The following is a 22947-nucleotide window of genomic DNA, read 5'->3' on the forward strand; positions in this document are numbered from 1 at the left end:
AAATGAGTCAATGAAGTAGTCATTTGTTAATACTATGCTTTTGAAATGCAGAAAATTCCAAATTCAAAGTTAAGAAGTATTGTTAATTGTGTCAGAAAAAGCATCTTGTTGATAATATGACCAATTTGGAAAGTCTGAGAAAGACTTATGATGACCAAACTAGATTTTGTTATTCTCTGTTATTTGTGTTAGACAATCTTTTGAGATAAGGGACCTAGCTATATTCAGAGGGTCACAATATCTGATTTTGTTTCATTCAGTTTTCTTTGTATTGCAAAAAGTTGTAGTACTATATTGATAAACAGAGAAAGAAAACACTATTGGTTTGTGGAGACGCATTAGTCAATATTTGAAAATATGTTTTTCTACATTTTGAATAGATGATAAAGTCAGCTCCTGCTAGACTGTAAGATATACATGACCATGTCTGTTTTGTCTGTTTGGTCTGTTTTATTTATTGTCAATGTTCCAATATACAGCACAATCATGGAATAGTTAGGTACGCAATAAATATTTGTTGAATAGATGAACAATTTTCAAAAATGATTTTTTTGTCTAGAAGGAATAATTTATGTAAATTGGAGATAGTGAGTGGCATAGCAGTAACAGTTGACTTATGATTTTAACCAGAGAGAAAACTACTTGCAACAGACACCACCAAACCATTTCTCACCGATTGCCTTTTCACATATTTAGGACTATGCCACTCAGGTTCATGTTTAAGGTTTATTTATTAAAAGCAAATTGCCCAAATAGCCAATGACAGAAAGATCTCTAGAGATAATCAAGGTTTAAATTGCATTTTAACCACTTACTGTAGAATGATTTCAGTGGATTCTTTAACCTCTTTCTGTCTCATTTGACTGTTCTTCAAATGGGTGGCAGGATACTTACCAGCTGGCAGTGTTGTGAGAGTTATGTGAAACACCTAGCACACTACACAGAAGGTATGTGCTACTCCTCATTTCCCCTTCCTCCTGCTTCCTTGCTCTCCCAACCATAAGACATTTTCTCTTTCTTTCTTTCTTTCTTTCTTTCTTTCTTTCTTTCTTTCTTTCTTTCTTGCTTTCTTGCTTTCTTGCTTTCTTGCTTTCTTGCTTTCTTCTTCTTCTTTTTTTTTTTTTTTTGATGGAGTCCTCTGTGGCCCAGGTTGGAGTGCAGTGGTACAATCTCTGCTCACTGCAACCTCCACTCCACCTCCTGGGTTCAAGCTATTCTCCTGTCTCAGCCTCCCGAGTATCTGGGATTACAGGCACACACCACCATACCTGGCTAATTGTTTTGTACTTGTACTAGAGACAGGTTTTCACCATATTGGCAAGGCTGGTCTCGAACTCCTGACCTCAGGTGATCCACCCGCCTCGGCCTCCCAAGGTGCTGGGATTACAGGCGTGAGCCACCGTGTCCAGCCTGCAAGACATTTTCTAACTAATAACTTTTTATTTAAAACACTAAGGATCCCATGGATAAATAATATTTTTTATATTTAATTGTTCTTCTTTTTAAAGATGCCAGAAACATGACCATGTATAAGAATGCTAAAGCATAAACCAGGAGCCTGCGATGTTGGAAATAAATAAGATTTAAAGCATACCTTTTCTATCTCATCTTTGTTTAAAAAAAAAAAGATTATTAAAAACAAACAAACAAACAAACAAACAAGTGGCAACTTAACCTAATCTTTTCTCCTCATTACTGAGTAGGTGGCTTCTTTCCAATTCATCTGAAATCTGTTACAAATCAATTCATGATCCTAGTGCCTCAGCCTCGGGTAATTTCTTTTATACGTTTCTGATCTGGTGTAATTTTTGCATGTCTCAACAACAGAAATGCATTAATGAAAGGTGTTTATGCTCTCCTGCTCCCTTGTGTATGTCTACAAAATGGGGAATACTAACAGCACTCATGCCTTTTCCTCTTGACTTTCTTCTAATAAAATATTTCCTACTCACTGCCCTGGTGCTCTCACTTTCCCTGAGTGCAGGCACACACTCATATGAGCAGGAAACTAACCAAGTTGCCTGTTTTCATAGCAACACTCTCCCCTTTCTGACAGAATGTTTTTCTACCAAATTCTCCCTTAGGGTAATCAAATCAAATATTTTAAAACACATTTATACCTATCTAGGCTGTTAAATAGAAAGTTAAATAAGTTTATCATTAAAAGCAGAAGGGTCCAGTTAGAGAAAAGGGAATAAAAAGTTAGCAAATGAAATTAATGTGACAGTTACCTTGCTCTGTTTACATGTACTCTGAATAAAATGTCTAGTTTGGCTCTTTATCCAAATAAAATTAGTAAAGAAGTTAGATTCATTTGGATAGTTTTTATTTTTCTTTAACTTTGGATTCAGGCGACTTAGCCCAGTATAATACAACTAGAGATTCAGCACTGGGAATGTTTATTGGGCATGCAAAATTCATGGGGTGTGCGAATCAGATCTATCTCAGTTTAGTATAAGCTATTTAGGGCTACCTATTTAATACCCAGTACAAGAATCACAGGAGAGAGGTACCCATCTCTTGGGTTCTCAGTTTAGAACCAAATTCTAATTATTCTCACTTTCCAACCTCCTTATTGCCCACAGCTGTTCTTTTCCTAGTGGTACCTTGTTGAAAAAGTAGACCTCAGTGTCCATTGATGGTGATCCTGAGTCTTCTCTGCCTTTTCACTCATCCCTTGGGGTCCCTGACAGTAAATACCTTTCCAGGGCTCAATTTGGAACTTATCTTTGCTCAGGCACAAGAACAATATAGTGGTGATGGAAAGAGAAAGAGATGTGTTCTTCATCTCTCTGTAGCAAAGCTGTAAGAAAGGCATGTAAAAAGCTTTTCGTTTTGTCTATGGAGACATATTGTGTCTTACATGGTTTGGCTCTGTGTCCCCACCCAAATCTCATCTCAAATTGTAATCCCCACATGTGGAGGGAGGAACCTGGTGGGAGGTGATTGGATCATGGAGGCGGTTCCCCCATGCTGTTACTGTGATACTGAATGAGTTCTCATACGATCTGATAGTTTAAAAGATTGTGGAAGTTCCTCCTCCTGGCTCTCTCTCTTGTGAAGAAGGTACTAGCTTCTTCTTTGCCTTCCACTATGATGGTAAGTTTCCTGAGGCCTCCCCAGCCCTGCAGAACTATGAGTCAATTAAACCTTTTTCCTTTATAAATTTCTCAGTCTCAGGCAGTTCTTTATAGCGAGTGTGAAAACAGACTAATACAGTCTCCTTATGCATACCATTTTATATCTCAGTTTAAAATAATAACATGAAAAACAGATTTCTTGCATCTTTGCTATAAGAACCTCTGACAGAACTACCAAGTGCATTACATTCTTATGGGATAACTCTTTGTAAATAGAAATGAATCAACTATGTCTGTCATTAGTTTGATTGCTTTTTGATAATTTATTCATCATAAATTTTTCTTTATCTTTACCCTGTCCATAATTTAGACCTTAGTTGTCATTATGCTCATTTTCATTTATTCCAGTAGGAGCTCGAAAAAATATTTTTATATCAAACTACTTTTTTTTTTTCTTTAAGAAAAGAAAGAGTACAGAACCTGAGAAACTTTCAGATATTTGTGTGGTTTATACATTGCATAACTCTGGGGCAAAGTTGGTGTAGTCAGCCAAGTATGGGTTTAAATCTTGCCACAGAGAGAGACAAAATAATATAATTATAATTGGTTTGCTTGAATCAGGTTTCAGACATTGTCCAAACATTGCATTTGGTTTTGGTTGTCTCATAAAATTCTTTTAATGTCTAATCTTTATCAGGCAGTTCCATCTGCCTTTCTGTTTTTAAAAAGCTACCAACTAAGATAATGTATGTACTATGGTTTAATATATAGTGCAGGGAAAGCACTCAATATGGTAGCTACTATTGTTATTCTTATTATGACATCTCAGAATATCAACTACACTTGCTTGAAATATGTTGTAGTTCATGGATTTGAGGATTGGTGTCTTTTGACAATTTTGGAAAAATTTCAGTCATTATCTCTTCAAATATTACCTTGCTTCCATTCTTCTATGGATTCCCTCAGAAATTCTGATGAATGAATATTGGACATACTCATTTATCCTTCATTTTATTCTTAAACCATATTTCATGTTTTCTGACTCAGTGCTTCATTGAGTAACTTTTATCTGTTTTAGCTTCCAGTTCACTAATTGTTCATTTCAGTCTAATTTACTGTCATATCCTATTCTAATAAATTTCTAATTTCAAAGATATTTTAAATTTCTAGATGTTTTATTTAATTATTCTTTTTTTCTGGTAATTTTTGATAATTGCTGTTTTAATATTTGTTTTCAATTCTTTTATTTCTTTAAATACATTAAAAATACTTATTTTGTAGTCTATATTTGATAATTCTTATATTTATATGTCTTTTTGTGCCTGGTTTTGTGGATTGCTGTTTCTACTGACCTTGCTCATGGTACCTTGCTTAATCAAGTATTTAGCTTTTTTTTATTGAGAGTTTCTGTTTATTGGAACTTTATCTGTGAGAATTACCTGAAGACTGCATTTCTACTGAGGATAGAAATGCAGGATATTTCTGAGAGTATTTCTGCTTGTCAGTTGCCGCTTCCAAAACATGTCTGCTTTAAAATATTAACTTGTGTTTTATTTATTTAAATCTTATAGATAGAATCAATATGGGCATTAAAATCCATGTGAAAACTGGTTCATGATCATAATTTCTCATGGGAGGGTTTTTTCCTTCTACTCATAGCCAAAGCAAAGATAGATCATTTTCCTTGTTCTCTTTCTTCACTGGTTAGATTTCATATTTATTCCTCCTTTCCTTGGTGTTAAGATTTATTTAGGGGGGAGGTCTTCTTACTCTTGTCCTCCAAAGATCCTTTAGTACTGATATCCTAGAGCAGTGGTTTTCAGTCCTGGGGTGGGAAAGTGGGGCCCCCAGGGAACATTTGGCAAAGACCGGAGACATTTTTGTTTATTACAACTGGGGGAAATTAGAAGGTGCTGCTGGTATCTAGTAGGTAGAGGCCAGAGGTGCTAAATATCCTACAAAGTAGGGGACAGTCCCAACAAAGAATTATCTAGTGCCCAGGCTGAGAAACCTCATTCTAGGTCAACAGGCTTGGTAAGTGCCCTCAGGGAAGCCAGTTGCTTTAGCTTAAGTCCCTTGAACTCTACTGCTTAGTCTTGGGGATTTCCTTAATTTCTAGAAAGTTTACTCATGTACTTAAGTGAACCTCAAAATTATTTTAATCACTTTAAAAAATATGTAGTATTTAGATGATCTTGCCTGTTGTTTTGCTTGAGCTAGTTCTCTCCTCATGCTTTATGGAGAGTGTTCCCTTGTCTGGCTGCACGATACTTTGATTAGTCTCTAGTTATGGACTTTAAGGTAGTTTTTAATCATTTGTCACTACAAACTGCTCCAATGAATGGCACTTTGCATATATGAGAATATATCTGTAGAATAAGCACCTAGAAATGTAAATGCTGGGCACGTGCATTTAAATTTTTTATAAATGTTACCATATTTTCCATATAGGATTTATCGGTTTAACCTTCCACTAGCTTCATGAGAGTAACTTTTTCTTACACAGGTTTAAATTCAAACTGATTGGTTTGAAAAATGAACCCCAAGATACTCAAACAGAAAGAATGAACCTTCAGATAGATAGCCATCTGTCAAATTCAACAGTTATCAGGATTTTGCCATATTTGTTTCAGTGATCCCCCTCGTCTTATTTTTTTCTTTTTTTCTCTTTTCATTGCTGAAGTATTTTGAAGATCCAGACATTATTTCATTTCACCCCGTATTTCAACGTGAATCTCTGAAACATGTGGACATTTATTGTATAACCACAATGCAATACTCGTATAGCTCTATATCATCTAAAAAAAGTTGTAAGGAAATTTCCTCAGATGTGGGGAAAAAATTGTTCTTTTAAAACTGGTTTGTTTGAAATAGGATCATCATAAGATTCACCCATTATGTTTGGTTTTTATGTCTCTTAACTCTCTTTCAAATTAGAACAGTGTCCTTTCCTTTTGACCACCTGCCATTGTCTAGTAACAACTGGATTAATTGTATGCAGAATGTCCACATTTGGTTTGTCTGTTTGCTTCCTTGTGGTATAATTTAACTTGTTCATCTATCCTTTGTGGAGAAAAATTGGCACTTGATATTTGATTAGATTCAGGCTCAACATTTGGCAAAGACAAGTGATGTAATAGACATTACAATATGCATCGAAGCAAGAGACACATAACATCTGCTTTTGTCACTTTGTGTGTCAATTAGCCTGTTGATCAGTGGATTCAAGCAGTCACAGGCTTATCTCTCTTGTAAAATTCCCATTTACCTTTTATAAAATGGCTTTACCCATGTGATCACTGGTTGAATTCATTATTTTATGAGGATTTGTAGAATGGTGATTTAATAAAACTTCTACCTTTTCTTCCACACTTTTTTTTTTTTTTTTTTTTTGAGACGGAGTCTCGCCCTGTCACCCAGGCTGGAGTGCAGTGGCATGAACTCGGCTCGCTGCAAGCTCTGCCTCCCGGGTTCATGCCATTCTCCTGCCTCAGTCTCCCGAGTAACTGGGACTACAGGCGCCCACCACCACGCCTGGTAATTTTTTGTATTTTTAGTAGAGACGGGGTTTCACCATGTTAGCCAGGATGGTCTCGATCTCCTGACCTCGTGATCCTCCCACCTCAGCCTCCCAAAGTGCTGGGATTACAGGCGTAAGCCACTGCACCCGGCCTCCACATTTCTTCATTAGAATTCTTCGTAAAGGATTGCCTTCCCCCACCAATTAGGGCTAATTAATTTTCTTGAAGTATACCTCATCCAGGAAAGGCAGAAAAAATTATTTCCTTTTAACTGCCTGTTTTCAGAATAAGGATTTAGAGCCCTAGTTATTTTCAGTGGTGTCCAAATTAGTTTTGTTTAAATTTTAGTTTCTCCTTCTTCTCTTTTTGAGGGCGCTATCAATATGAACCCTTGTTTGTTTCGTGTTCTTCCATCATTTGCATTCATTACTCTTTTTTTTTTTTTTTGAATCGGAGTCTCGCTCTGTCGCCCAGGCTGGAGTGCAGTGGCACAATCTCGGCTCACTGCAAGCTCCGCCTCCCGGGTTCACGCCATTCTCCTGCCTCAGCCTCCCGAGTAGCTGGGACTACAGGCGCCGGCCTCTACGCCCGGCTAATTTGTGTGTGTGTGTGTGTGTGTGTGTGTGTGTGTGTGTGTGTGTGTATTTTTAGTAGAGACGGCGTTTCACCACCTTAGCCAGGATGGTCTCGATCTCCTGACCTCGTGATCCGCCCGCCTCGGCCTCCCAAAGTGCTGGGATTACAGGCGTGAGCCACCGCGCCCGGCCCATTACTCTTTTTTAAGCTCAAATTGTCACATATTGGCCAATCCCATCCCCTTCATGTTTCCTCCTGTGTCCCTCTGACATGGCCCATTTAGTCCTTGATAGTCTCATTGCTTTCTGGCACAACAAGATTTCTCAGGTACATCTTGTATATTTCTGCCCCCAGACCTTGAATCAGCTATTACTCATTGGAATTGTTATTTTTATTTCTCTTCTTGAGAAAGTCATTGTCTTTTCACAGATTCAAAAGATATTTGTATTTTCTTTTCTCTAAAGTCAGTGTTTTTCATTTTTCCCTAAAGGGTTATTTTTTTCTAGTTAATTTATATGATTTCTTTGTTATGGTAAAAAATAGCCAATGTCTCTGATATAAACTCGAAATATTAGCCACATTTGCTATTTGCCATTTGACCATTTAAGGCATTTTTATGCCATATATTTTTTAATGTAGTAAAGTTTATTAATTTTTCTCTTTTACGACACTTAGTTTTAATTCATATTTAACAAATCTTTTCCCAATCTTAGATTATAAGAAATACTTTTTCCAAACATTTTGGGGCTTCATTTTTTAATCTTTTAATAATCTTTGATCATCTAGAATTTATCTTTGTGTAAGATGTGAGATATGGATCCAATTTATTTGTTCCCATATGGCTGAAAAGTTATCTCCATACCATTTATTGAATAATCCATCTTTTTCTCACTATTTGAAATATCAAGTTTATCACTGAAATTTGCTATGGAATTTTTATTCGAATCCACTGTTCTGTCTTTCCATTCATATAGCAGTACCATATTACTTTATAATATATTTTATTATCTAACAGGTAATGTTGTTTTACAAATTTTCATGGATAATTTTATACAACAATTTTTTCATTTCAGTTTATTGTTTCCAAAGGAAATATATTGGCATTTTAGTTGAGATCATGTTAAATTTGTAGATTAACCAGAGAAGAATGGATATCTTTGTGATGTTGACATCTTATTTAAGACATGATGTGACTTTCAACTCTCCAATTATTTAAGCTTTTTCTGTCACTTCGTAGTATTTAAACATTTTTTTCCATATACAGCATATAGAACTTTTCCCTTTTTTTGGTGTCAGTTATGGTATGGGCTCAGCTGTTATTGCAAACAAACAAACAACACACACAAAGCAAAACAAACAAGGTAAGTTTATTTTCATGATTCTAGATTTTTCAGAGACTCAGGTTGCTTTTCTCTTCTTGCTTTACTGTTCTATAGGGTGTACTTACTCTTTTGGTAAAAGTCAGTTTAATACCATCACATCTATCTTGGATCTTGTTGGAAAGGGAAAAAGAGTGGTCTAGGATCTTCAAGGAGATGATTAGGACATTTCCCATATTACCTTTGCTTACCTTTATTGGCTCCCAAAATAAGCATATAGCACACCTAGCTGAAAGAAAGGCTTGCACATGGAGTGTCCGGGTATTCAGGTGAGCAAACATGCTTATGGTTTAAACTCAGAGAGTTCTATTACTTAAAGTAGAAGCAAAGAATAAGTACTGGGGTTGGGGGAAAAATAATAATTTTGTAAATTTTATCTTTTTAGTTGCTAATGAAAATAGACTTTTTTTTCCATTATAGCTTTTGAGTGATTGTTGTTTGTAACATGAAGGTTATATTCTACCAATTATTATTATTTTTTGTCAAGTCATCCCCTCATCGAATTATTTTGTTTCATGATAGAGTTCATTTTCTTCAAATATCCAGATTAAAAAGATCATCCGTAAAGAATTATAATTTTATATACTTTATAAATCATATCCCTCTGATGTAATTATATTAACTAACTGCTTTGGCTAGCAACTCCAGAATGATATTAAATAATAGTGGTGATAAAAGATAACTTAATTGTGTTTCTGACTTTAATGGAACAGCTTTCAATATTTTCCTATAAATATGATGTTTGCTTTTAGGTCAAATATGGTATGCATATTATCATATTAAGATATGCATAATATTAGAAAAAATATAGCTTTTCTATTTTATTAAGTTTTTATTTCATCAAGATTGACTGTTGAATTTTACTTGATGAGTTTAGGCTTCCATAAAGATAATAGTATAAATTTTCACTTTAAATCTGTTAGTATGAAAATTAATATTAACACTGAACTTCCTTCATATACTTAAAATAATGATATGCTGTCATGGAAAATTATTTTTTATCTATTATTATATTATTTGTTAACATTTTATTTAGTATTTTTGCAGCCATACTCAGAGTGAGATTGATTTTAAATATCTTTGACTCTTTTGTTCTAAAAATATTTTCGAAGTTTTTATTATGTTAATATGTCTTAGATCTTTTAAAATAGTATTAGAGTTATCTGTTCCTCTGATCTTTCCTGTTTAGGCTCAGTATACTGAGGAGGTTTTGAGCTTTAGTAATGTTTTCAACTTGTAATGAGCTATCACAATTTCTCTCTCTTCTGTGATATTTTGCTAATTTATAATCTCCAGAAAATGATCCATTTTAACCTAGTTTTTAAAATTATTTACAAAAAGCAAGCACATTGGTATTTTAAGATTCTTTTGATTTCTTGTATCTGGGGTTATTTTTGTATAATTATTTTCTATTTTGCATATTTGTGCTTTTTCAGTTTTTGTTTTGAGTGATATTTAGTGATGTATCAATTAACTCTCTGCGTATGCATATGTGTGTGTGTTTATAGCCAATTCTTGTGTTTATTTATTAGTTCTATCATTTTTCTGAGTCACTATGTTCTGAGTATTTCTCTTGAATATAGCATGTAATTGAGATTTGCTTTGTAGTCTGATCTGAAAATCTATTTTAATAGGTAAGTTTATCTCATTTGTATTTTTATATGAAACATATGTTTTGCTGTAGGTATGTTGTCATATTTTATGCTATACTTACTAAATAATGACAGAACTCATTTCTGTTCATTTCTTTCCTTTTCAGTTTTCATGCTTATAACTTCAAATAAACTTAAGCTCTATTATTTGATTTATCAACTAAAATGTCTTGACCTCCTCCAGCTCTAAAAGTTCTGCTTTCCCCTTGTCCTTCCCAGCATATATGACATTTTTATTCTCTTACTTAAGCATCATCCTCACATTTGCTTTAATCTTAGTTCTTACTCTGAAATGGACTCTGTGTCACTGCCAGGCATTTTCAAAAAGTTTTTCCATTCATTACTTTGTTGGCTGAATTTTTTTAATTTATTTTAAATGAATGTGTGTAAATGCTTATGTCTTTTCATTTACTTGAAAAATTATTTGCCTAGAAATATAATTATGAATCACTTTTTTTCTTTGAATACTTTGCAGGAATTACCCATTCTCTTTCAGTATTTTTAGGGAGAAATCTAGTATGAGTCAGATTTTTTTTTTTAAGTTTTATAGGTAACATTATTATTATTATTATTCTGTCTGACATCTTTTTTTGTCTCACAGAAATCAGTCACTTTATTAAGAAATGCCTTTGGATTGATTTTTCTGTATGAGTTTTTCCTTTTGTTTTCCTGGGACATAGCGTGTTTATATTTCATAGATTCAAATCCTTTCTGTTTCTGAAAAGTTTCTTGAATTATATCCTTAAATACTTATACTGCTCTGTTACTTTGGTTTTCTTTTATATGTATAATTTCAATTTTTATTTTAGATTTAGAGAGTACATGTGCAGGTTTGTTACATGTTTATATCTTGTGATGCTGAGATTTGCATACAATTGAGCTCCTTACCCAGGTGGTGAGTATAATACCCAATAATAGGTAGTTTTTCAGCCATTGCAAACTTTCTCACTCCCTGCTTAGTAGTCCCCAGTGACTACTGTTGCCATCTTTATGTCCACAATAACACAACGTTTAGCTTGCATTTGTAAGTGAGAAGATGTGGTATTTGGTTTTCTGTTCCTGCGTTAACTTTACTTAGGATAATGACCTCCAGCTGCAGCCATATTGCCTTAAAGGACATGATTTTATTTTTTTTATGGCTGTGTAGTATTTCATGGTGTATATGTACCATATTTTCTTTATCCATTCCTCTATTGATGGGCACCTGGGTTGGTCCCATGTCTTTGCTATTGTGAATGGTGCTGCAGTGAACATATGAATGCATGTGTCTTTTATGTAGAAAGATTTATTTTCATTTGGATATATATCTAGTAATGGGATTGCTGGGTCTAACGATAGCTCCACTTTTAGTTTTTTAAGAAATCTCCAAACTGCTTTCCACAGAGGATGAACTAATATACATTACCACCAACAGTATATAAGTGTTCCCTTTTCTCTGCAGCCTCGCCAGCATCTATTGTTTTTTGACTTTTTAGTAATAGCCATTTTGACTGGAGTGAGATGGTATCTTATTGTGTTATCTTATTGTGGATTTGATTTGCATTTCCCTGATAATTAGTGATGTTGAGCATTTTTCTTATGTTTGTTGACTATTTGTACATCTCCTTTTGAGAAGTATCTTGTTTATGTCCTTGATCAGTTTATAATGAAGTTATTTGTTTTTACTTGTTGAACTGTTTAGGTTTCTTATAGATTCTGGATATTAGACCTTTGTTAGATGCATAGTTTACGAATATTTTCTCCCATTCTGTAGATTGTCTGTTTATTCTGTTCATATTTTTTTTGATAAGTAGAAGCTCTTTAGTTTAATTAGATCCTGCTTGTCAATTTTTGGTTTTGTTGCAATTGCTTTTGAGGACTTAGTCATAAATTATTTTCCAAGGCTGATGTCCAGAACAGTGTTTCCTAGTTTTTTTTTTTTCTAGGATTCTTATAATTCAAAGTCTTACATTTCAGTATTTAATCCATCTTGGGTTAATTTTTGTGTATGGTGAGAGGTAGGGGTTCAGTTTCATTCTTCTGCATTTGGTTAGCCAATTATCACAGCATCATTTATTGAATAGAGTATCTTTTCCCCATTTTTAATTTTTGTTGACTTTGTTGAAGATCAGTTGGTTGTAGATGTGTGGCTTTATTTCTGGGTTCTCTGTTCTGTTTCATTGATCCATGTGTCTGTTTTTATTTCCAGTACCATGCGGTTTGGGTACTGTGGACTTACAGTATAGTTTGAAGTTGGGTAATGTGATGCCTCTTGCTTTGTTCTTTTTGCTTAGGATAGCTTTGGCTATTCAGTCTCTTGCTTTTGGTTCCATATGTATTTTAGAATAGTTTTTTTCTAATTCTGTGAAAAATGACATTGGTAGTTTGATAGGAATAGTGTTGAATCTGTAAATTGCTTTGGACAGTTTAGCCATTTTAATGATATTGATTTATCCAATCCATGAGGATGGGATGCTTTTCCATTTGTTTGTGTCATCTACAATTTCTTTCAGCAGTGTTTTTTAGTTCTCCTTGTAGAGGTCTTTCACTTCCTTAGTTAGATGTATTTCTGGGTATTTTATTTGTGTGTGTGTGTGTGTGTGTGTGTGTGTGTGTGTGTGTGTCTATTGTAAATAGGATTGCCTTCTTGATTTCAGCTTGAACTTTATTGGTGTATAGATATGCTACTGATTATTGTACTAAAACTTTACTAAAGTTGTTTATCAATTCCAGGAGCCTTTTGGCAGAGCCTTCAGGGTTTTCTAGGTATAGAATTGTATTATCAGTGAAGAGAGACAGTTTGACTTATTTTCCTGTTTGGGTGCCTTTTACTTCTTTCTCTTGCCTGATTGCTCTGGCTAGGACTTCCTGGTTCTCTTATTTACAAACACTTATTTTGTATTTTGGTGCTCTCTTTGCCAATCTTTAATATAATAATTTTCATTCCAGATTCCCTTTAATTCTTTGTTTATTTTCACTTCACTTATTATATTTGCTATCTCAAATTTGTCTTTTTATTATTCTTACTATGATTTCGCCAATTCTGAGTCCCCTTGTATTGCTTCCACTCAGACATTCATTATTATGATTGTCCACATCATTGCTTCACACTCACCCATACAGACATACTCACTACACGTTTTCTTGAGCACAGGTTTTCTTCTGTGTACTCTTTTATTAAGCAAATTATTTCATTGGATTTTGAAAATTCAAGGTCAAATTTTTTTATTTGCTTATTACTGAGTGTTGTGTGTGTGTGAGCATTTTGCATCTGCCATTTCTATTTTCAGCATTCCATAATTTTATCCTTGTGGTATTGTGTAGCTTCTTTGCTCATTCCTTTTATACTATTTCTCATTCTTGACTACAGTTTTTCCTTAACCTTCTACTGCAGGATATTCATGGTAGAGAGTGGCCAGGGCTAGCTGGAATTCTTCCTATAGGGTGCGTGTGTGTGTGTGTTTGTGTGTGTGTGTGAGAGAGAGAGAGAAAAAAAGAGATTTTATATGCACTCCAAGGCTGTTCATATTGCCAAATCTTTCCTCTTTTACCACTGCCAACCCCTGTCCCTCAGACACACCCCTAGAGGCTGAACCACCCCCTCTTGTTCTACTTTCTCTAGAGTTTGTGCCAAGTGGGATCAAGTGAAGTACTGCCTCTAGTCTCCACTGTCTATTCCCACTGTTGCAAATATGTTATTTTTGTTTGTTTTCTTTGTATTGTTTTAAACTTCAGTATCTGCCACTCTCAGATTTGTCCTTGGCAAGTTTTCTCTGATTTCTATAGCTTCCCTTCCCACATGATTTTTTGAACTTCAGTGCTTTGCTAGGGTTTTCTTCTATTTTGTGATTCAGAGTTTCAGGCATGTCAGATTCACTGGGGATGGTGTTTGCATTGTTCTCTCTTCTTCCTCGTCCTGCTTTAAAATGAGTTCCCACAGAAGAATGGAAAGAAATTTAACTTCATGTGCTTATTTTTAAGTTATAAGTCCTACTTTGAAATTTTCCTTATTTTCTCATTAATATTTTTCAGGTATGTTGATATGTTCTTTTGTTCTCCCTTAGGTAGACATAGGGAATCCTTGATACTATTGTTCCCTTTACTTTTTCTTCTTCTTGCTAGATAATTATACTTCTCTTGGCATTTTCTCATAGTGACAAATTAAAAATTCTGTTGGTTTTGATTTTACTGCAGAAGCACTTATAACAGTCTATGGCACATATTTAGTGTTCAATAAACGTTAGCTTAATCTGAATCTCATTACAGTTTCTTGTTCTTATTCCTAAAGAAGAAAATAACCTACAACCTAAATTAAAATTTAAAATTACTTTATAATGATGAACTATGTTTTCTGAGATTATGCACTGAGTTCTAATGATAGAAACGTGATGGGTATTTCTTTGTATCTGAAATATTATGCATCCAGTGAGAGAGAATGTAAACTACTAAAATGTACTTAAAGTGAAAAATAAATCTAGAGTTCCGTATAATGAATTATGAATAATTTTAATTTTGGAGTCACTTGTTTATTTTTAAGAATATATTGCACTGTTATTAGGTACTTGCTAAAACCTGAATAAGAATCATGTGGCCCTATTATTTTTCCCTAAAGACCAAACACAGTTTAGATAGGATACTTTTTCTGCTTTATGCTTTGGTCTGAAGCAGTGGGCAATAAAACGCATGGTAGCAATGAGACCACATCACATAGATTATATTGGACACGTATGACTGTAATTGTCATATCTTATTAGAGTATTCTAATTGAACTAAATTTTTAAAACTGGTCTTTTCTGCTAGTTACTGCATTTATGTTTTCCTCATATGGCTTATTTTTTCTAAGTTTGTTCTTGAATAACTTTATTTTTTTTCTTCGAGTAACATTTTAGATGTTAAATTCCCAGTTGGCAGGAGCCATATCTATGTTTTATCTAGCCTGATGCTGTGATTAATAAATGTTTTTGTGATTAGGATAATCTGTTACCTTCTGCCCTTTATCTCTGTTTCTTTTTCTTCTCCCACTCTCTTTTTACACCTGTATGTAGTCTTTGCTGGACTTCTGTGCTGTTCATTTTTGCTGTTCTATCCAGGTCTGCTGGTGGCTATGGGATCTTTTTAAACTGATAATTCTATTTTCAGTAGAAAAAAATCAGTTAACAATTCATTTGATGCAATTTCAAACAGCCCTCTTTGGCTGCCTGGAGTAATCTGGAGAAGTATGAAAGTTCTAGTATCATTCAAATCTCTTAATTTGGACAGTTACCGTGATCATATTATTCTGAGGGCAAATCGAACTGCTTTCCTCCTGGTGTCCTTTGTAAAGACAGGAGCCTTGGAGCTATCTGGGGCAGAGAGCTCCCTCATTTATAATTTAAGTCCTGGAACGTACTATCCACATTCATGGTACTACACAAATAAAAAATAAAGAATGCCACTAGACAGCACAAATAATCAACTGTTACCAACTGTGAAACTCTAAAGGGGTGAGGAGGAGGATGGGAAGCAAAATCTAATAAAAGTTATGTATAAACTGTTCCATGAAAGTCATTTTTTATTACAAAAGCAATAACACCTTTCCATCAACTTTGTACAACAATTTTAATAACTTTTAGTGAATGTTAGTAAATCATATTGACCCTTAAGGTCCCTGGATGGCTAGAAATAAACATGCACAGATTAACCATGTTGTTGCTCTTCAGCTCTGTTGTGCAAACAATTATGAACAAGGTCAGACCAGGGCACCATTGTTATTGTTTGCCAACCAATTTATTCCTAAGACCCTTGACCTCATTTTAATGTGTGAATTCAAAAGAATACTCCATGCAGTATTGCAAGCTGCAGCCACACAAAATTGGGAAGTTGGCATGTTTTTCTGCCAACAGGGGGTTGGAAATTCTGTTAGAAACTCATTTAATGCAGTTGAATGTTCATGCATCATTTAAAAACTCTGATTCACCCAAAATGCTTTTATTTGTCATGTAAATGTAATATGTCAGGTCTGCTATGAAACTACATGGAAAAGCTAAAATTGGACCTGGTAAGTGAAGTTTCCTTTCTTTGTAAATTTATAGCAACCTCAACTAATTTTCCAATTGCTTTATACTTTGGTCTTTTAAATTCTTTTTTATTTTTTTAATAATGTGCCTTTTGTCAGATTTCAAATACCGTTGACAGCTTTTTTTCTAAATATTACTTAATTTGAAGGTTTAACCTTTTAATTTAAGAGCTCATAGTTTTAAATGAAAACAAAATATTTTGGAACTAGTTGGACTGAATAAAAATAAGCAAATTCACATGGTAGTTCATTTGAGTTATGGGTATGTTGTTCAGGAAGCAGAAAATGACCTGAAAGGTGAATACAAAGAAGAGAGAATGAATCATAGGAAAAAATTTAATCTAATGTGCTTTAAAGCCAATTATATTTTTAATACCATCTATCCTCATTGGGCCTTCAAGAGGCATACACATATTGCTAGAGCTGTCATTAGGATTTCTGGAATGACTTTAAATCTTTCTGTGGCAAATATTTCCAATCATTTGTAAACTTAATTATCAAGTTAGCAAGCACCCAGATTTGATTAACATGTTTGCAAACATGATTATGCACCAGAAACAGCATCTATACTTCTTCCCTCTGATACCCCTTTAATCTCTTCACAGTGCAACGCTTGTCTGTGCTCAAATTAAGAATCTGTATTAGAAGCCACAGATGCAATATCTGTATATTACAGTAAGAGAAAAGACAAGGTTTGTTCTCAATTCCCCTTGCTGTTATTTTCTTCCTTTGTAAATTACTGAACGCAACACATTCTCTCAACTTATATTTTATGTAAGTCTCAAATGGTATCATAAATAGTGTATGCACAGACATATATTCCTGGATTAGACAAAAAAATGATGCTGCTACTAAAGTTTGGTTTAATGAATTTCTAAAGCTCCCTGTTAATTCTATTTCATGGTAGCTTTGCATTTTATGGAATTTGAAAGCACGAGCTGTAATTGCTAATATCCAAATTAAGTTAAGTAAACTATAGAGTTTGGTGCTGCTCTTTGCCTTATGGTTGATTCATATGAAGTCAGTATCATCTATATTTTCTGTGCTTCCCTAGTATACCCTTACTGACACATTCATATTAATCAATTTAAAATACTAGATTTCTAGTCTAGTCATTTATTGTTACACAATTGCTATTAATAATATGATCCTCAATCCATTTTATTATTTCCATGGTTTTCTAAACATGAAAATACCCCTGAGTATTGTGCCACATATCTTAACCAACCTTATTTCATTTAATAATTTTTAGTCCCAAACAGGGGAGACTAGATTTATTTTTCCCTCCAGGTAGCTCCCTGAGACTGTGTCTGAACCCAACTTGCTACCTGGCATGGTTGATGTGCCTCCATGGACTCTCTTGGAGGTGGCAAATGCAGATACTTATCATTGGTATGCTCTCCATTAAGAGGACAGCTTAGATCAAAAAGAGGTTTCAGGGGAACTATTAACAGTGCTGTTTCCTTCTGTCACTGGTCCCTAAGCATTTTGAAAGGAACTTAAAAAAAAGATAGATACTTTGATTTTTCCCCCCAAAAGCCTTGAGATCATTCATGTTAAGAGTAGGGAGGAGTAGGTGATAAGAGTAAATCTCCAAGTGTATGTGTCTTTAGGGAAGGGATTTTGAGGTGATTGCTGACAGTGCTCTGAAGGATTACCCAGGGTAAGGTATGATGTAGTGTGTTGCTGAGGATACTAGAAACTCATGTGTATGCCTGTTTTTCTAAGAGACCTGAATAGAGCAATCCAGGTCTTCTTCACCCTGAAAATAAAGCAAATGGTCTGGTCCTCCACTGAATAATTTTAGTCTTCAATTTAGTTAGGCTCATTTTAATTTGGCAAATATTTATTAGCAGATGAAGTTTAGGAACATCCCATCAAAGTAAAAAAAAAAAAACAAAGCGAAGCTTATGATTTTATGGAACAAAAGTCTTTAAGAAAGTCACAGTGAAAAACAGAACCTCAAAAATTGTGTAGAGAATTTCTAACATGAAGTTGCCTCTGAGTTTTACTTCCCCAAGAGATAATCTCATATCTTGTTGGGGGATAGCTGGCCCTCTCCCCGCTCAGAAAGACAAAACAAACCCAAAACAGCTGAGTCTGAGGAAAGACAAAGGCCAAAGGTTAGAATTTCCAGCAGGATTTTACTTAGAGAGGGGACATGAAAGTGATTTTGCTATGATATTTTTGTTATCAGTTAAAAACTTTGCCCTTTATTTTGAATTTGTCCTTGGATAACACCTCCTGGATCATCCTCCTTGGCTTCATTTATCACAGCTAGCAAGTAAGTCTTTTCTTATCTTGGCCTATTGCCACAGCCTAGCTTGAATTTAGAAGCCTAGGTACTTTGCTTGGAGAGGCATTGGATATCATTCTTTGAAACTCTGTTTTTCATTATCAGGTAGTCCAAATGGTCAGGCAGATGCCTTCTATAAGAATTTCAAAATACCAAAAGGTACAAGGTACCACTTCTGAGAATCTCCTAAAAAGTTTTGACTACCCAGAGGCAGCTAGCCCAAGGCAGATGTTAATCTCAAGAGAACAACAGTTTCCTCATCTCTAAAAGGGGAATAATAACTCAACATATCTCATAGTGCTATTGAAGTGTAGAATGAGGCATGGAATGCTGAGGCAATTGCCACTCTCACATGGGTGAGAAAACCTTTCAGATCCTTAGGTTACATTCCCTCAGCCCACCACCCACAGACTGATACCCAAACAGAGCACATCAACCAAGTAGATAGGGACATTGTTGGTAGCATGATTTGTCCCTTTATCTTGCTATAGGATTATTTGTATATAAAATACGCTACAACTTTGCAGCTAGGATATCATATTTCACAGTTTCTACTTCTCATATGTTCTTCTGGCTTATTGATGCTCTAATATCATCAGTACCCAGGAAGTTTTGGGCCACCCAGATTGACTCTGAGGCCACTGTCTTAGTCCATTTTGTGCTCCTGTAACAGAATACCAGTGACTGGGTAATTTAAAGCAATTTATTTCTCACAGTTCTGGAGGAGGCTGGAAAGTCCAAGGTCAAGGGGCTAGTACCTAGTGAGGGCCTCCTTGATGGATCATCCCATAATGGAAGGCAGAGGGTGAGAGCACACAAGATAGATAGAGAGAGAGAGAGAGAGAGAGAGAGAGAGAGAGAGAGAGAGAGAGAGAGAAGAACCTGGTTTTATAACAAATCCACTATCCTGAGAATGTTATTATTATCTCCATGATAATGACATTCTCAGGAGAGAATCATGGAGATAATAATGACATTATTCCATCTCTTAAAGAGCACACCTTTCAACATTGTCACGTTAGGGTTACATTTCCAACACTTAAACTTTGGATGGCACATTTAAACCACAGCAGCCACTTTCTGGATCATCAAGAGTTATATAGGAATTGTGTTCACTTGCATAAATCCTAGAAAAAGGCATATAAATAGAAAGGATTTTTGGCTCTCCTTTTATGACTCTGTGCCTAAGGAAACCTAAGGATTATATCATGGAATTCATTGAGGGCATAAATGTATGTATCCTGTGGCTTTCTGATTCTAGTGGCCCCCTTTAAGCTTTTTCATCAATGCTTCCACTGCACTAAACTCCATAAAGTTCATTAGGCAAGATTACTCTGAACAGGAAATACAAATATTTTTAATTTCAATTATAATTTTTATTTTTTGAGACAGAGTCTCTCTCTGTCTCCCAAGTTGGAGTGCAGTGGTGTGATCTCGGCTCACTGCAACTTCTACCTCCCGGGTTTGAGCAATTCTCCTGTTTCAGCCTCCCGAATAGCTGGGACTACAGGCGCAAGCCGCTATGCCCGGCTAATTTTTGTATTTTTAGTAGAGATGGGGTTTCACCATGTTGGTCAGGCTGGTCTTGAACTCCTGACCTCAGGTGATCCGCCCACCTCGGCCTCCCAAAGTGCTGGGATTATAGGCGTGAGGCACCGTGCCCAGCCCCCTACAAATATTTATTTAGAGAAGTTCTGGCTCCTACCAGCACTGGAGCCAACATCAGTAATGAGTCCCCCAGTAAACAAAACAAAACAAAATACATTCTGCATCCAAAATGAGTTAGGATTATCCATTAACCACACAAAGAAATCAAGGACTGTTAGGCCCCAAGAATGGACCTGAGCAAAGCAATGATGCTCTATGTCTAAGTATGTTTCTCATCTTTTTAGATGTATTATTTGGAGGAATGGTGAACAAATCAGACTATTGTAATTTATGTTGCAGTAAAAAATAACCCCAAATTTCAGTGATTTACATCTGTAAATTGCTCATGCTATGTGTCCATTGTAGGATGGCTGCAACTATCTGGAACTCTGTTGGTCTCATGGCAGAGATGACAGATGAACTGTGGTAGACTACACCCATGATCTTAAAGCTTCTATCTGAAAATGACACATGTCACTTTTGTTCATATTTTATTTGCCAGAGATATAGTCCCAAGGCCACCTCAGACACCAAAGCATAATCCTTCTCCAGGGATGGGCAGCTAATATTTTGAAAATTAACATAACTGACTGATAATTAGGTAGTTATTTGCTTTAGGGTTTTTGCTTAGAAGCTGACTTTAATCGTGCATTCCATTTTCATGTACTATGCCCCAAAAGACAAGTTTGAATGCATTGCAACCCTCATTTTGGAACAAATACCCTGTATTAGTCTGCGTGGGCTGCCGTAACAAAATACCATAGACTGGCTGACTTAAACAACAAAACTTTATTTCATCTCCACTTAGCCAACAGTTCCAGAGGCTTGAAGGCTGAGATCAGGGTGCCAGCATGGTTGGTTTCTGGTAAGGGCTCTCCCCTTAGGTGGAAGATGACCACTTTCTCACTGTGTGCTCACATGACCTCTGCTTTGTGTGAACAAAGAGAAAGAGCAGACTCTCTGTTGTCTCTTCCTATAAGGGCACTGATCCCATTATGAAAGCCTCATTTCAGGACCTCATCTAACCTTAGTTACCCCACAAAGGTCCCATCTCCAAATACTATCACACTGGGGGTTAGAATTTCAGCATTTTAATTTTGGGAAGACACAATTTAGTTCATAGCATACCCACTCCCACCTCTTGCAATCAACTTGACCTCTGAAGCAGCAACATAAATGTTTTATTTCTTTTCTCAGTGGGCATGAGCCATTGGGATTTACTACTCAGGCTCCCATTGTTTCCAGGGCATTCCTGACCATAAGGACATCTATCCATTCTCAGCTTGATGTTGGCTGTTTCTTCTTTGGGGTGAACAGTAGTTTACTCCTTCCCCAGAGCTGAGCCCCTCACACCAATATACCTCAGTGATATAGTTGGATAAAAATATTTTCTAATTCACCCTAGAAAATTTCCTTTTCCTCAGCCTCCTTTCATGTGCCCTGCAGTTATCACTGATTGCTTTCCCTGCTTTTTTCTGTTGTCTCTATGTCACAGAACCCTTGTTAATTCCACCAGGTGGGAATTAACTCAATTATTTTCATGGATGGCTGCCATATTTCTCTTGTTTCCTACTGACTCTGTTATCTTTATTCATTCCTTTTCTTTTATGTCTAGACAAGAAAGTAATTTACAGTTATTTATGGTCTTCAATTTTCCTGCTGGTCTTCTGTTATTCTTTTCCTATTACACATTCAGATGATTTTACTCCTCTGTTCAGAGCTCATAAGAGGCAGCATCACAAAGCCCTTGGGATAAAATCAAAACTCCTCACCATTCCCACAAAGTCCTGCAGGACCTGGCTCCTGCCTTCCTCTCTGACTGCACTTCATATTATTCCCTCCCTTTGCTCACTCTGCTTGAGCTGCACAGGCCTTCTCTCTGTGCCTTGAACAAACCAAGCTCTCTGTGCTTCTGGCTCTTTTCCTTATTGTTCTGTCTTCTCCTAGCTTTTTCCATGGCTGGCTGATTCCATCCTCTGCTCCTCATTGAGACTTCCCTGGCCTCCTAAGAAAGGCCTCTTTCAGTTACAGGCTCTTACAACACCCTGATCACATTCTTTATAACAATAATAACTACTTATAATTTCTTTATTTGTTTTTACATGTATTGATTTCCATCATCAGAATATACTGTAAGGGCAAGAGTTTTGCCTTTAGCATTGCTGTGTGCCAGAACTCTGTATACTGCCTGACACTATGGTGTGTTTCCTAAAAGAATGATTAAACCATCATAGCACTGTTACATTAAATAAAATAAAAATTTGTTTTTTTCTAACTTCTATCCAGAAGGCCTATTTTGATTCTCTGGGATCTTACAGAATATATCTAATCTGCCTTCCATATACCACATGACACTTTATTAAATATTACAAGATTTTTGGGTCCTGTGTGCATTCTTTTCTATAGACTTAACATCTTCAGTTCCCTTAGCTATTTTTCAGGTAAAATGTGTTTTATGACCTTTCAACACCCTGTTGACTCTGTCTTTGATTTATGTTAATACTTATTAAATTATTCCTTTTGACATTTGGGACATCACCACAGCTAGACCACCCATTTCAGCATCCTCAGAAGGACATAAGAATAATGTAGATACTGAGAAATGGCTTCAGTAAAGTGGGACCAGGTCTCCCCAGCCATAATCATGGGCTCTTTCCTGGAAATGATTAGTCCTATTCCTGCTTAGCCATTGGCTTGTTTGTCATGTTCAATGGGCTAAGGAAGAAAAATGTGAAGGCACATAGGAAGAAGAATGCCCCTCT

Source organism: Homo sapiens, chromosome 6 (assembly GCF_000001405.40).
Source record: "Homo sapiens chromosome 6, GRCh38.p14 Primary Assembly".
In the NCBI taxonomy this organism is placed as follows: domain Eukaryota; kingdom Metazoa; phylum Chordata; class Mammalia; order Primates; family Hominidae; genus Homo; species Homo sapiens.